At 46.6% G+C, this 12696-nt stretch overlaps 1 protein-coding gene across 8 annotated transcripts in view; it reads left to right on the top strand.

Annotated features, from left to right (window-relative positions):
* The window catches only part of EIF3C (eukaryotic translation initiation factor 3 subunit C), a 47173-nt gene that overhangs the window by 14409 nt on the left and 20068 nt on the right, over positions 1 to 12696 (top strand). For 2 of the 8 annotated variants that reach the window (XM_047434827.1, XM_017023814.3), the window contains exons 2-9: positions 8353 to 8552; positions 8691 to 8821; positions 10735 to 10800; positions 10943 to 11132; positions 11355 to 11480; positions 11670 to 11724; positions 11853 to 11962; positions 12341 to 12468. In XM_047434827.1, the coding sequence (XP_047290783.1) occupies positions 8721 to 8821; positions 10735 to 10800; positions 10943 to 11132; positions 11355 to 11480; positions 11670 to 11724; positions 11853 to 11962; positions 12341 to 12468 (776 nt within the window). In that variant the 5' untranslated portion in view covers positions 8353 to 8552; positions 8691 to 8720. Of the gene's footprint in view, positions 1 to 8352; positions 8822 to 10734; positions 10801 to 10942; positions 11133 to 11354; positions 11481 to 11669; positions 11725 to 11852; positions 11963 to 12340; positions 12469 to 12696 lie in introns of those variants that run through there. The other 6 variants (XM_047434828.1, NM_001037808.2, NM_001286478.1 and 3 more) reach the window with 6 other exon arrangements.

Below are 12696 nucleotides of genomic sequence, written 5' to 3' on the forward strand. Positions count from 1 at the left end.
TGCAGCGAGCTGCACCATTGCACTCCAGCCTGGGCAACAAGAGTGAAACTCCATCTCAAAAAAAAAAAAAAAAAAAAAAAAACTAGCTACTAGCTATATGCTATTTCAAGATGTATATAAATATCATTATTATACAGAAATATTGAAAAGCAATTAATAAAAAAATACATCAGGCCAAAACCAACTAAAATGAAGTTGGAAAGCTATATTAGTATCAGAAAAAATAGACTCACAAAAAGTATTACTGCAGATAAAGAGTGTCATCTCATAATAATAAAATAGTCCCAGCCTGTCCAACATGGCGAAACCCCGTCTCTACTAAAAAATACAAAAATTAGCTGGGTGTGGTGCCACGTTCCTGTAATCCAAGCTACTTGGAAGGCTGAGGCAGGAGAATCACTTGAACCTTGGGGGTGGAGGTTACAGTGAGCCGAGATTGTGCCAGTGCACTCCAGCCTGGGTGACAGAGTGAGACTCCATCTCAAAAAATAAATAAAAAATAAAATAAAATATTCAATTTAACAGGGATGTATAACAAAAACTACTCTGTACCTAATAATAAAAATTTAAAACATATGATGTAAATATTGAAAAAAATGTTGATACAAGCTTTATTTATAATATGGCCAGGTATGGTGGCTCACACCTGTAATCCTAGCACTTTGGGAGGCCAAGGTGGGAGGATCACCTGAGGTCAGGATTTCCAGACCAGCCTGGCCTGGTCTCTACTAAACATGGTGAAACCCCATCTCTACTAAAAATACAAAAATTAGCCAGGTGTGATGATGCACGCCTGTAATCTAAGCTAATTGGGAGGCTGAGGCACGAGAACCTCTTGAACCTGGGAGGCGGAGGTTGCAGTGAGCCAAGATCATGCCACTGCACTTCATCATGGAGGACACAATGAGACTCCATCAAAAAAAAAAAAATCTACAGGAGAATGAATACATTGTGGTATCGATCGTCATTCAATTGAAAACCATTCAGGAATTTAAAAAGAATGACTGGGCTGGGCGCGGTGACTTACGCCTGTAATTCCAGCACTTTGGGAGGCCAAGGTGGGCAGATCACCGGAGGTCAGTAGTTCGAGACCAACCTGACCAACATGGAGAAAACCAGTCTCTACTAAAATTGTAAAATTAGCTAGGTGTGGTGGTGCATGCCTGTAATCCCAGCTACTCATGAGGCTGAGGCAGGAGAATCGCTTAAACCCGGGAGGCAGAGGTTGCAGTGAGCCAAGATTGCGCCATTGCACTCCAGCCTGGACAACAAAAGCAAAACTCCATCTCAAAAAACAAACAAACAAACAAAAAAGAATGTCCTACCATACTGGTGCACTTAACACGGATGAATCTCATAATAAGTATTATGGTCAACAATAGAAGCCAGGTACAAAAAAGGATATGCCTTATGATTCTATTTATATGAAGCTCAAGAACCGGCAAAACTGGCCAGGCGTGGTGGCTCACGCTTGTAATCCCATGCTTTGGGAGGCTGAGGCAGGATGATTGCTTGAGGCCAGGAGTTCGAGACCAGCCTGGGAACATAGTGAGGCCCCCCCCGTCTCTACAAAAAACAAAAACCCCACAAAAAACATTAGCTGAACTCGGTGGTGTACACCTGTGGTCCTGGCTACTTGGGAGGCTGAGACAGGAGGATCCCTTAAACCCAGGAGTTCAAGGCTGCTGCAGTGAGCTGGGATCTTGCAATTGCACACCAGCCTGGGCAAGAGAGTGAGATCTTGTCTCTAGTAAAAAAAAATCAAAAAACAGGCAAAACTAATAGATGATGATAGACACCAAACCAGTGATTGATTAGTGCAGCTGATTCATTTAGCTATATGTATGTTGTCTTTTAATAATTACAATAATAGGCAGAGTGTGGTGGCTTATGCCTGTAATCCCAGCATCCTGGGAGGCCGAGGCAGGCAGATCACTTGAGGCTAGGAGTTTGAGACCAGCGTGGCCAACATGGTGAAACCCTGTCTCTACTAAAAATATAAAAATTAGTTGGGTGTGGTGGTGCATGCCTGTAATCCCAGCTACTCCAGTGGCTGAGACAGGAAAATTGCTTGAGCCTTGGAGGCGGAGGTTGCAGTGAGCAGAAATCGTGCCACTGCACTCACACCTGGGCGACACAGCAAGGCTCTGTTTCCAAACGAAAAATTTATAATAATAATAGAAACATATCATTGAACATGTACTATGTGAAATGCACTGAGGGGATACTAAGACATTCCTGTCTTCAAGGTACTTGAGGTCTATTTGAGAAAATTAAACACAAAGCAAAATACAATAAAATTGTGTGTATCAGAAAGTTATATTATCTGTGAATTTCATAGTCTTGACTTTTCTTTTTTTTTTTTTTTTTGAAATGGAGTCTCGCTCTGTCGCCAGGCTGGAGTGTAGTGGCGTGATCTCGGCTCACTGCAACCTCCGCCTCCCAGGTTCAAGCGATTCTCCTGCCTCAGCCTCCCGAGTAGCTGAGACTACAGGCACGCGCTACCATTCCCAGCTAATTTTTGTATTTTTAGTAGAGTTGGGGTTTCACCATGTTGGCCAGGATGGTCTCTATCTCTTGACCTCGTGATCCTCCCACCTCGGCCTCCCAAAGTGCTGGGATTACAGGCATGAGCCACTATGCCCAGCCTGAATTTCAAAGTCTTTTGAGACATTTATTTTAGAAAGGGGATATTGAAGCCAGGCACATTGGCTCACACCTGTAATTCCAACACTTTGGGAGGCCAAGGCAGGAGGATTACTTGAGCCCAGGAGTTTGAGACCAGCCTGGACAACATAGCGAGAATCCATCTCTAAAAAAATTTAAAAAATGAATCTCAGCCAGGCACGGTGGCTCACGCCTGTAATCCCAGCACTTTGGGAGGCCAAGGTGGGTGGATCACTTGAGGTCAGGAGTTCAAGACCAGCCTGACCAACATGGTGAAACTCTGTCTCTACTAAAAATACAAAAATTAGTTGGATGTGGTGGTGCATGCCTGTAATTCCAGCTACTCACAAGGCTGAGGCAGGAGAATCGTTTGAACCCAGGAGGTGGAGGGTGCAGTGAGCCGAGATCACACCACTGCACTCCAGCCTGGGCAACAGAGCAAAACTCTATCTCAAAAAATAAAAAATAAAAATAAATAAGTCTCGTGTGGTGACGGGCGCCTGTAGTTCCAGGACAATGATTGTATCACTGCACTCCAGCCTGGGTGAAAGAGCAAGACCCTGTCTCAAAATAAATACATAAATAACAGTCCAACGTGGTGGCGTGCACCTGTAGTCCCAACTCGGGAGGCTGATATGGGAGGATCACTTGAGCTCAGGAGTTTGATGCTGCAGTGACCTATGATCACACCACTGCACTCCAGTCTGGGTGACAGAGTGACACCCTCTCTCAAATAGTAATAATAATAATTTTTAAGATTAAAAAAAGAAAGAAAAGGAAAAAATAAAAGAAAAAGGGGGGATATCAGTGGCTGGAGTTGCGTGAGTGAGGGGGAGTGTGGTACCCAGCATTTTGTCCCACAGAGGGGTTCCCATGGCACTCCCTCCCCTTTTCCCACGCTCTGTCCTCTCCTTCCGCTCAGTTCATTCCCCTTCTGCAATAAAATAATATACTTGGAAGCGTCTTCTGTGACCTGCGAGTTAGAGGACCTGGTTTCAGAATCTCATGCTGTCACAACAGAGCCCTCCCCCGCACTGCAGAGTCCTGCTTTTCTCATTTGTAAAATGAGGTTAGTAATAGCTGCTTTTCCTGCCCACCTATAAGTTTTCATGAGTTTCAAGCACCTCTATGCATTTGAAATTGTTATTCAAATGCCAGTTATGGTTATCATCTTCCTGCTTGCTGGCTGTGTTATTACAGGCACATGAAGAGAGTCAATCTGCTGTGAGAAATACGTACGCCCACATGAACTGGAGACACCAGACTGATCAAAGCTCTTCCAGGGTGTCGTTCCCACTCTGGGACCATTAAGGACCCCATCAGAATCTGGGTATTAACAAAATTCACCTATTAAATACACCCATGTTACGTTTGTCTCCAGTCACAGAGCCTACTACACTCATAAAGGAAGAAATTATTAGGTAAATTACTAGGTTTTCTTTCCCTTTTTTTTTTTTTTTTTTTTTTGGCGACAAGGTCTTGCTCTGTCGCCCAGGCTGGAGTGCAGTGGCAAGATCTTGGCTCACTGCAACCTCTGCCTCCTGGGTTCAAGCGATTCCCCTGCCTCAGCCTCCCAAGTAGCTGGGATTACAGGCGTGCACCACCATGCCCGGCTAATTTTTGCATTTTTAGTAGAGGTGGGGTTTCACGGTGTCAACTAGGCTGGTCTCGAGCTCCTGACCTCAGGTGATCCACCCGCCTCGGCCTCCCAAAGTGCTGGGATTACAGGTGTGAGTCACCATGCCCGACCTAGGATTTCTTTAAGTCAGCTGCCTTCATTCCCATTTTTCCTATTTACAAAATGAAGTTGAGGCCAAGCACAGTGGCTTAGTCTTGTAATCTCAGAGCTTTGGGAGGCCAATGCTAGAGAATTGCTTAAGGCCAGGAGTTCAAGATCAGCCTGGGCAATATAGTGAGACTCCATCTCTACAAAAAGTAAAAATATTAATTGGGTGTAGTGGTGTGTGCCTGTTGTCTCAGCTACTCAGGAGGCTGAAGTGGGAGGATCGCTTGAGGCCAGGAGTTTGAGGCTGCAGTGAGCCGTAATCACACCACTGCACTTCAGCCTGGGCAGCAGAAATTGCAAAAAAAGAAAAAAGAAAAAAGAAAAAAGAAAAAAAAGGCCGGGCGCGGTGGCTCACACCTGTAATCCCAGCACTTTGGGAGGCTGAGGTGGGCGGATCACAAGGTCAGGAGATCAAGACCATCCTGGCTAACACGGTGAAACCCCATCTCTACTAAAAATACAAAAAATTAGCTGGGCGTGGTGGCAGTTGCCTGTAGTCCCAGCTACTCGGGAGGCTGAGGCAGGAGAATGGCATGAACCCGGGAGGTGGAGCTTGCAGTGAGCCAAGATCGCGCCACTGCACTCCAGCCTAGGTGATGGAGCAAGACTCCGTCTCGAAAAGAAAAAAAAAAGACTAAGTTGAATTCACTCAAAAATTGTTGGAGTCTGGCTCTAAAACAACACATCTCTCAACAGTTTAGATAGCTGTGGAATAATGTTTGGGTTGGAATGCAAACTATCGATTTGACCTTAGACAGGTCACTTGACCTTTTAGGACATCAACATTCTCCTCTCTAAAGTGGAACAGTGTGGCCTGCCTTCTGGGGTTATTATGCTTTTTTTTTTTTTTTTAAATGGAGTTTTACTCTTGTTGCCCAGGCTGGAGTGCAATGGCGTGATCTCGGCTCACTGCAACCTCCACCTCCTGGGTTCAAGCAATTATCCTGCCTCAGCCTCCCAAGTAGTTGGGATTACAGGCATGTGCCACTACACCCAGCTAATTTTGTATTTTTAGCAGAGATGGGGTTTCACCATTGTTAGTCGAGCTGGTCTCGAACTCCTGACCTCAGGTGATCCACCCACCTCAGCCTCCCAATGTGCTGGAATTACGGGTGTGAGCCACCACACCCAGCCTATTATGAATACTTTTAAAAGGCAATCAGGCTGGGTGTGGTGGCTCATGCCTTTAATCCCAGCACTTTGGGAAGCAAAGGCAGGCGGACCACTTGAGGTCAGGAGTTCAAGGCCAGCCTGGCCAACATGGTGAGATCTCATCTCTACTAAAAGTACAAAAATTAGGTGTGGTGGCAGGCACCTGTGATCCCAGCTACTCAGGAGGCTGAGGCAGAAGTATCGCTTGAACCTAGGAGGCGGAGGTTGCAGTGAGCCAAGATTATGTCCAGCCTAGGCGACAGAGCAAGACTCTGTCTCAAAAACCAAACAAAAAAAAAGAGAATGAGACAGAGCCATATGCACTGATACAGAATGAGCTGCAAGATATATGATGAATAATGAAATAAGATGCAGGAAACAATGGTAGAGACAGATATGTTCCAGGTAGACGCACACACACACACACACATACCCTGATCTATATAATTCATATACATATATTGAATATATATATATACACACACACATATATATATACATACACACATACAATACATCTATCTATATCCTTTCTGTCTCTATCTAGTCATTTCTTGGTATCCTCAAGGGATTGGTTCTAGGATTCCTGGGAGATACCAAAACCTGTACATACTCAAGTCCCGCAGTTGCCCCTGTGGAACCTGTAGTTACAAAATTTGGGCCCTTGGTATACATGGGTTTCAAATCCAGTGAATACTGTTATTTTTGATTGACATTTCGTTCCAGATGTGGAACCCACCTGTATGGAGGATTGACTGTATTTATTGAATAAAATCCACATATACGTAGACCTACACATTCTTCAAGAGTCAACTCTGTGTGTGTGTGTGTATGTGTGTGTGTGTGTGTGTATACACAAAGAGAGATAAGGAGAGAGAGGGCACAAAGTGACATCTGGAAGATAACGCTATAAACTGACAATTGTGTTTGCTTCTAGAGAGAAAAGCTGATGAACATGAGGTCAGGGCAGGAAGGAAACATTTTTTCCTGTATATTTTTTCTTCCTGTGTATTCTGTTGTACCATTTTCATTTTGTAAAAATGTACACATATTATTTAAAATAAAGAGAGCTGGGCGTGGTGGCTCACGCCTGTAATCCCAGCATTTTGGGAGGCCGAGGCGGGTGGATCACCTGAGGTCAGGAGTTCGAGACCAGCTTGGACAACATGGTGAAACCCCTTCTCTATTACAAATACAAAAATTAGCTGGATGTGGTGGTGCACGTCTGTAAATCCCAGCTACTTGGGAGGCTGAGGCAGGAGAATTGCTTGAAACTGGGAGGCGGAGGTTGAAGTGAGCCAAGATCATACCATTGCACTCCAGCCTGGGCAACAAGAGCAAAACTCCATCTCAAAAAAAAAAAAAAAAAAGATATTTATGGATTTACAGACGTACAATGAACCCCTTGGTTTTTTTTTTTAACTTTTTTTTTTTGGAGACAGAGTCTTGCTCTGTCGCTCAGGCTGGAGTGCAGTGGCACGATCTTGGCTCACTGCAACCTCCACCTTCAGGGTTCAAGCAATTCTCCTGCCTCAGCCTCCTGAGTAGCTGGAATTACAGGCATCTGCCACCATGCCAGGCGAATTTTTGTATTTTTAGTAGAGATGGGGTTTCACCATGTTGGCCAGGCTGGTCTCGAATTCCTGACCTCAAGTGATCTGCCCACCTCTGCCTCCCAAAGTGTTGGGATTACAGGCATGAACCACCATGCCCAGCCTCATATTAAGTTTTGACGGTGCTGGGTGGGTTGTGAGTACATAGATGTCCATTGGAATAGTCTTTATTCTTGTCTGTTGAAATATTTCACAATAAAAAACAAAACGGCCAGGTGTGGTAGCTCATGCCTATAATCCCAGCACTTTGGAAGAGCATGCTCTTCCCTTCCCAGCACTTCCCTGTCCCGCTCCCATATCAAAACCACCTTGAAAAATGTAACACAGTCCCTTGCACTAAAACCTCTGCCGATGGCGGCTCCAAACCACAGGCCTATAAAGACCTGCAAGATCTAGCATCGTCTACTTTTTTTTTTTTTTTTTTTTTTTTTGAGACAGAGTCTTGCTCTGTCACCCAGGCTGGAATGCAGTGGTGTGATCTCTGCTCACTGCAATCTCTTCCTCCTGGGTTCAAGTGATTCTCCAGCCTCAGCCTCCCACGTAGCTGGGATTACAGGCAGGTGACACTGTGCCAGGCTAATTTTCGTATTTTTTAGTAGACACGGGGTTTTGCCATATTGGCCAGGCTGGTCTCGAACTCCTGACCTCAGGTGATCCACCCACCTCAGCCTCCCAGAGTGTTGGAATTACAGGAGTGAGCCACTGTGCCTGGCTAGCATTGTCTACTTTTTTTTTTTTGAGATGGAGTTTCGCTTTTGTTGTCCAGGCTGGAGTCCAGTGGCTCGATCTCGGCTCACCACAACCTCCGCCTCCCGGGTTCAAGCGATTCTCCTGCCTCAGCCTCCCGAGTAGCTTGGCTTACAGGCATGCACCACCACGCCTGGCTAATTTTGTATTTTTAGTAGAGATGGGGTTTCTCCATATTGGTCAGGCTGGTCTCGAACTCCCGACCTCGGGTAATCCGCCTGCCTCGGTCTCCCAAAGTGCTAGGATTACAGGCGTGAGTGAGCCACCGCACCCGGCAGGATTATCTACTTCTATACTATTAATGCCTATTAATGCTGTAATTACACGCGTGAGCCACTGCGCCCCGCCGATCTTCGTGTTTTAAATCCCGACACCAACGCGCGGTAGGATTCGCGACGCCTGCAGCCAAGGTCTCAGCGCCCGGTTCCCTCAGGCTTGTCCCCGCCCCCTTATGGCGCGAAGGCCACTGGGAGTTGTAGTCTCCCAGTGTAGTTAGTCGGCGCTTCCCGGAAGTGACGCGAGGACCCGCCTTCTCTCTCGGCGTTTCCGCTGTCAGGGCCCTGCGGTGTGACTCGCGGGCTCAGCTGGTTGGTATTTTTTGGGCCTCGTGCTTCGTGGTGGGAGACCCAGGTCGAGGTCCGGGTGGGGCCGGTGAGGGGTTGGGCGTCGGGAGGTGTTGGCTCGGGCCTCTTCGCGTGGCCGGTGACGCCTTGGCTCCCCCGCAGGTCCGGCCGTAGCACCTCCGCGCCGTCGCCATGTCGCGGTTTTTCACCACCGGTTCGGACAGCGAGTCCGAGTCGTCCTTGTCCGGGGAGGAGCTCGTCACCAAACCTGTCGGAGGCAACTATGGCAAACAGTGAGTTGCGGGGGCTGTGGCTGTGACCATTCTGGGAGTGCGGGGTTAGGCAGGCTGTGGAACGCAGTGCACATGGGAGGGGATGGAGGTGAGGGCGGGGAGAGTGGGTTTGGACAATGACCAGAGTTTGCAGGATCGGAGCGGTGTTGGAGAGAGACAGCCTTAGAGGGCTGTGATAGCCGGTAGCCACCCACCAGGCACAAGGGATAGAATCACAGAGGTTTCCCAAGCCAGATCTGTTGCATCAGCTTCTTAACTGGCCTTAAGTCTACAGCCTCTACCTGTCTCCTCTCATTTTACCGCCGAGAAGTCCTTAGTGACTTCTCACTGCTCACAGAAGGAAATGCAAAATGCTTGATTGGTATCTGGGAGCCCCCTGATGCGACTCTGAAGTCTGGTCACCTGCTGTGTACGCAGGTGCTTAAACATTTTCTATGCCTGTTCACTTCTACGTAAATACCCATCCGCCATTTCTGTACATTAATTTTTTTTTTTTTACCCTTTGGAACAATAGAATGGTTTTTCTTTTTCCTTTTTTTTTTCTTTTTTTGAGGGGTCATAGCTCACTGCTGCCTCGACCTTCAGATCTCAAGCGATCCTCCCACCTCAGCCTCTCAAGTAGATGGGACTACAGGTGCACGCCATCGCAGCAGGCTAATTGTTTTTAATTTTTTGTAGAGAAGGTGTCTCACTGTGTTGCTTAGACTGGTTCTGAACTCCTGGGCTCAAGTGAACCTCCCGCCCAGCATTCTAAAGTGTTGGGGTTACAGGAATGAGCCACTGTGCCCCACTGGAATGGTGTTTCTTAAACATCTGCCACGTTTGTGCTACTGTTTTAAAAGTATGTATTGCACATGTATATGCCAATATGCATATGGTTTCGTATCACTTCCACAGGTGGAAACCAGTGTCATTTGCCATAAAATACCAAATAATCCAGGCTGGGCAGGTGGCTCAAGCCGGTAATCCCAGCACTTTGGGAGGCTGATTACTTGAGGTCAAGAGTTTGAGACCAGCATGGCCAATAAGGTGAAACCCCGTCTCTACTAAAAATACAAAAATTAGCCGGTTGTGGTGGCACATGCCTGTAACCCCAGCAACTTAGGAGGCTGAGGCAGGAGAATCTCTTGAACCTTGGAGGCGGAGGTTGTAGTGAGCCGAGATTGCGCCATTGCACTCCAGCCTGGGCGATAAAAGCAAAACTCCACCTCAAAAAACACCGCTAAAATAATCCAAAAAATAATAAAAAGGGAAAAGAGGCAGGCAAGATGGTGCATGCCTGTAGTCCCAACTACTCTGGAGGCTGAGGTGGGAGGATCCCTTGAAACTCAGGAGTTGGAGGCTGCCTGGGCAACATAGTGAGACCTTATCTCTTAACAAACAAAAAGAGTAGAGATACTGTTGCTGACTGTGAGCCTGTGGTCTGGTCTTATTATCGTAGAAAAATACTAGCAGTGGAGGTGTTAATACCATTGAGACTTTCTCCTTGCTGTTGGCCTCTCATACTTTGGGAAATGTTGCTAAGATCTAGTTTAGGTACCACCTCCCTAAAGCCTTTTCTGTTCATTATAGCTCAAGTATCATTTTTCTCTACCTCTTTTTTTATTCATTACTTCTGTGGTGACTTGTGTCTCTATGTCATTAGTTACACAGTAAATTAGCACTTTCATTTGTTTTTGAGAGGATAGTGAATGTCATCTTTGTGTTGCTACAACACTGAGCAAAAGGCCTTACTTAGTGTACACTTAAAAGATTGAGTTGTATATGAAGTGGCCCTGAGGAGGAGTCAAAAAGAGGATGGGTGTGGTGTGGATGGCCTGGATTACTTAGTTCTACCTGTCCTGAGTAGGGAAATACGGATCTCTTGGAAAGACTGGGAAAGGAGGTTAATGGCCTCTGTTCCTTCCAAACAGGCCATTGTTGCTGAGCGAGGATGAAGAAGATACCAAGAGAGTTGTCCGCAGTGCCAAGGACAAGAGGTAAAGCCATGGCGAGGCTGGGTGATGGGAGTCTCTGGGAGCAATGAAGCTGTGGGGAGGCTGGGTGATAGGAGTCTCTGGGAGCAGTGGTGAGTTTTCCCTCGGTGGGCACGTTCAATGTGGTATCGGGCTCCCAACCCAGGTTTGAGGAGCTGACCAACCTTATCCGGACCATCCGTAATGCCATGAAGATTCGTGATGTCACCAAGTGCCTGGAAGAGTTTGAGCTCCTGGGAAAAGCATATGGGAAGGCCAAAAGCATTGTGGACAAAGAAGGTGTCCCCCGGTTCTATATCCGCATCCTGGCTGACCTAGAGGACTATCTTAATGAGGTGTGATGCCTATATTTATTACCACCACTTATTCATGGTTTTGTACTTTTAGTGGTGGGATGTATAGGATCTTTTAAAAATAAGCTAACAGATGTAGTTAATAAGTAGTACCAGTGGTGTTCCAATAGCAAGACTCAAAAGTGGAGAAGAAGCCTGGAGTTTAGGAAATGTTACTTAGTTTCAAATCACTGTTCTCTGTTTCTTTCCTCTTCTTCCCTTTAGCTTTGGGAAGATAAGGAAGGGAAGAAGAAGATGAACAAGAACAATGCCAAGGCTCTGAGCACCTTGCGTCAGAAGATCCGAAAATACAACCGTGATTTCGAGTCCCATATCACAAGCTACAAGCAGGTGGGGAGGCTAGAGGCACACTTACTGAACTGGGAACAGTGACCCCGTGACTGAGGCCCAAAGATGGAATTGCTAGTGGGAGGTGTGACTGGAGCAGGAAGATGACAGAACTGTCTGGGGTGGAGGGGTGGGGTGGGCTGATGGCTGGACAGCGTCCATGATTGTTCTCTCACTTCCCTCTCTGTCCAGAACCCCGAGCAGTCTGCGGATGAAGATGCTGAGAAAAATGAGGAGGATTCAGAAGGTGAGCCAAAGAACCTTTGTTGCAAATAGGAAGTCCAGAGTTAGTGTTGCCCTTCGCCTGGTTTCTTGGCTGCCCTCCAGTCTGGCTTTTCAACATTCAGGATCTTTTTCTCCCTCCATTACCACTAGGCTCTTCAGATGAGGATGAGGATGAGGACGGAGTCAGTGCTGCAACTTTCTTGAAGAAGAAATCAGAAGCTCCTTCTGGGGAGAGTCGCAAGTTCCTCAAAAAGATGGATGTAAGAGCCAGGGTTAGATGGATGATTTCCTGCCAGAGGTAGTTCCTGAGTCCCTGGGGGAAAAAGACAAGACTCAAACCCCTAGGGTTGGGAGGGGTGGAATTTAGTGGAGTTGAGAACAAGCTTCCTCTTACATCAGAGCAGTGGGCAAACAGGGATCTGGGCCCAGCTCTGCCAGGGGAAGCTGTGTGTGTTCCTGCGGCCAAATTGCAGCATCACTCTGGGACTTGATGGTGAGTCCCAGCCCTTGGTATCTTGATTCCATGAGTAGCTGCTCTTGTTCTACTCATGTAAATAAATCTCGAACATGCGTTAGTAAGGAGGAGACACCAGTCAATCTCCCTGTCTTCTTGCTGATCCTCTTTTCTTCCCTCTAAGGATGAAGATGAGGACTCAGAAGATTCCGAAGATGATGAAGACTGGGACACAGGTTCCACATCTTCCGATTCCGACTCAGAGGAGGAAGAAGGGAAACAAACCGCGCTGGCCTCAAGATTTCTTAAAAAGTAAGGAAAGTAGTGGGACCTAGGGTTACACTGGAACTGGTGGAAAGCTCTTAATTGTCTGGAAGGTTATTGATTCTTCCATGGAGTCCTTTTAGGTTGGAGCAGCCAACTGTTAGCATTTTACAGTAGGATCAGAGAGTCAAGTACATTAGTTGGCTAAAGTCACGAAGCTAATGTGTCCTAAAGATGAGAATTGAAGGCTCCAGAGTCCAAATATTTACCCACAGC

This window comes from Homo sapiens, chromosome 16, assembly GCF_000001405.40.
Source record: "Homo sapiens chromosome 16, GRCh38.p14 Primary Assembly".
Classification (NCBI taxonomy): domain Eukaryota; kingdom Metazoa; phylum Chordata; class Mammalia; order Primates; family Hominidae; genus Homo; species Homo sapiens.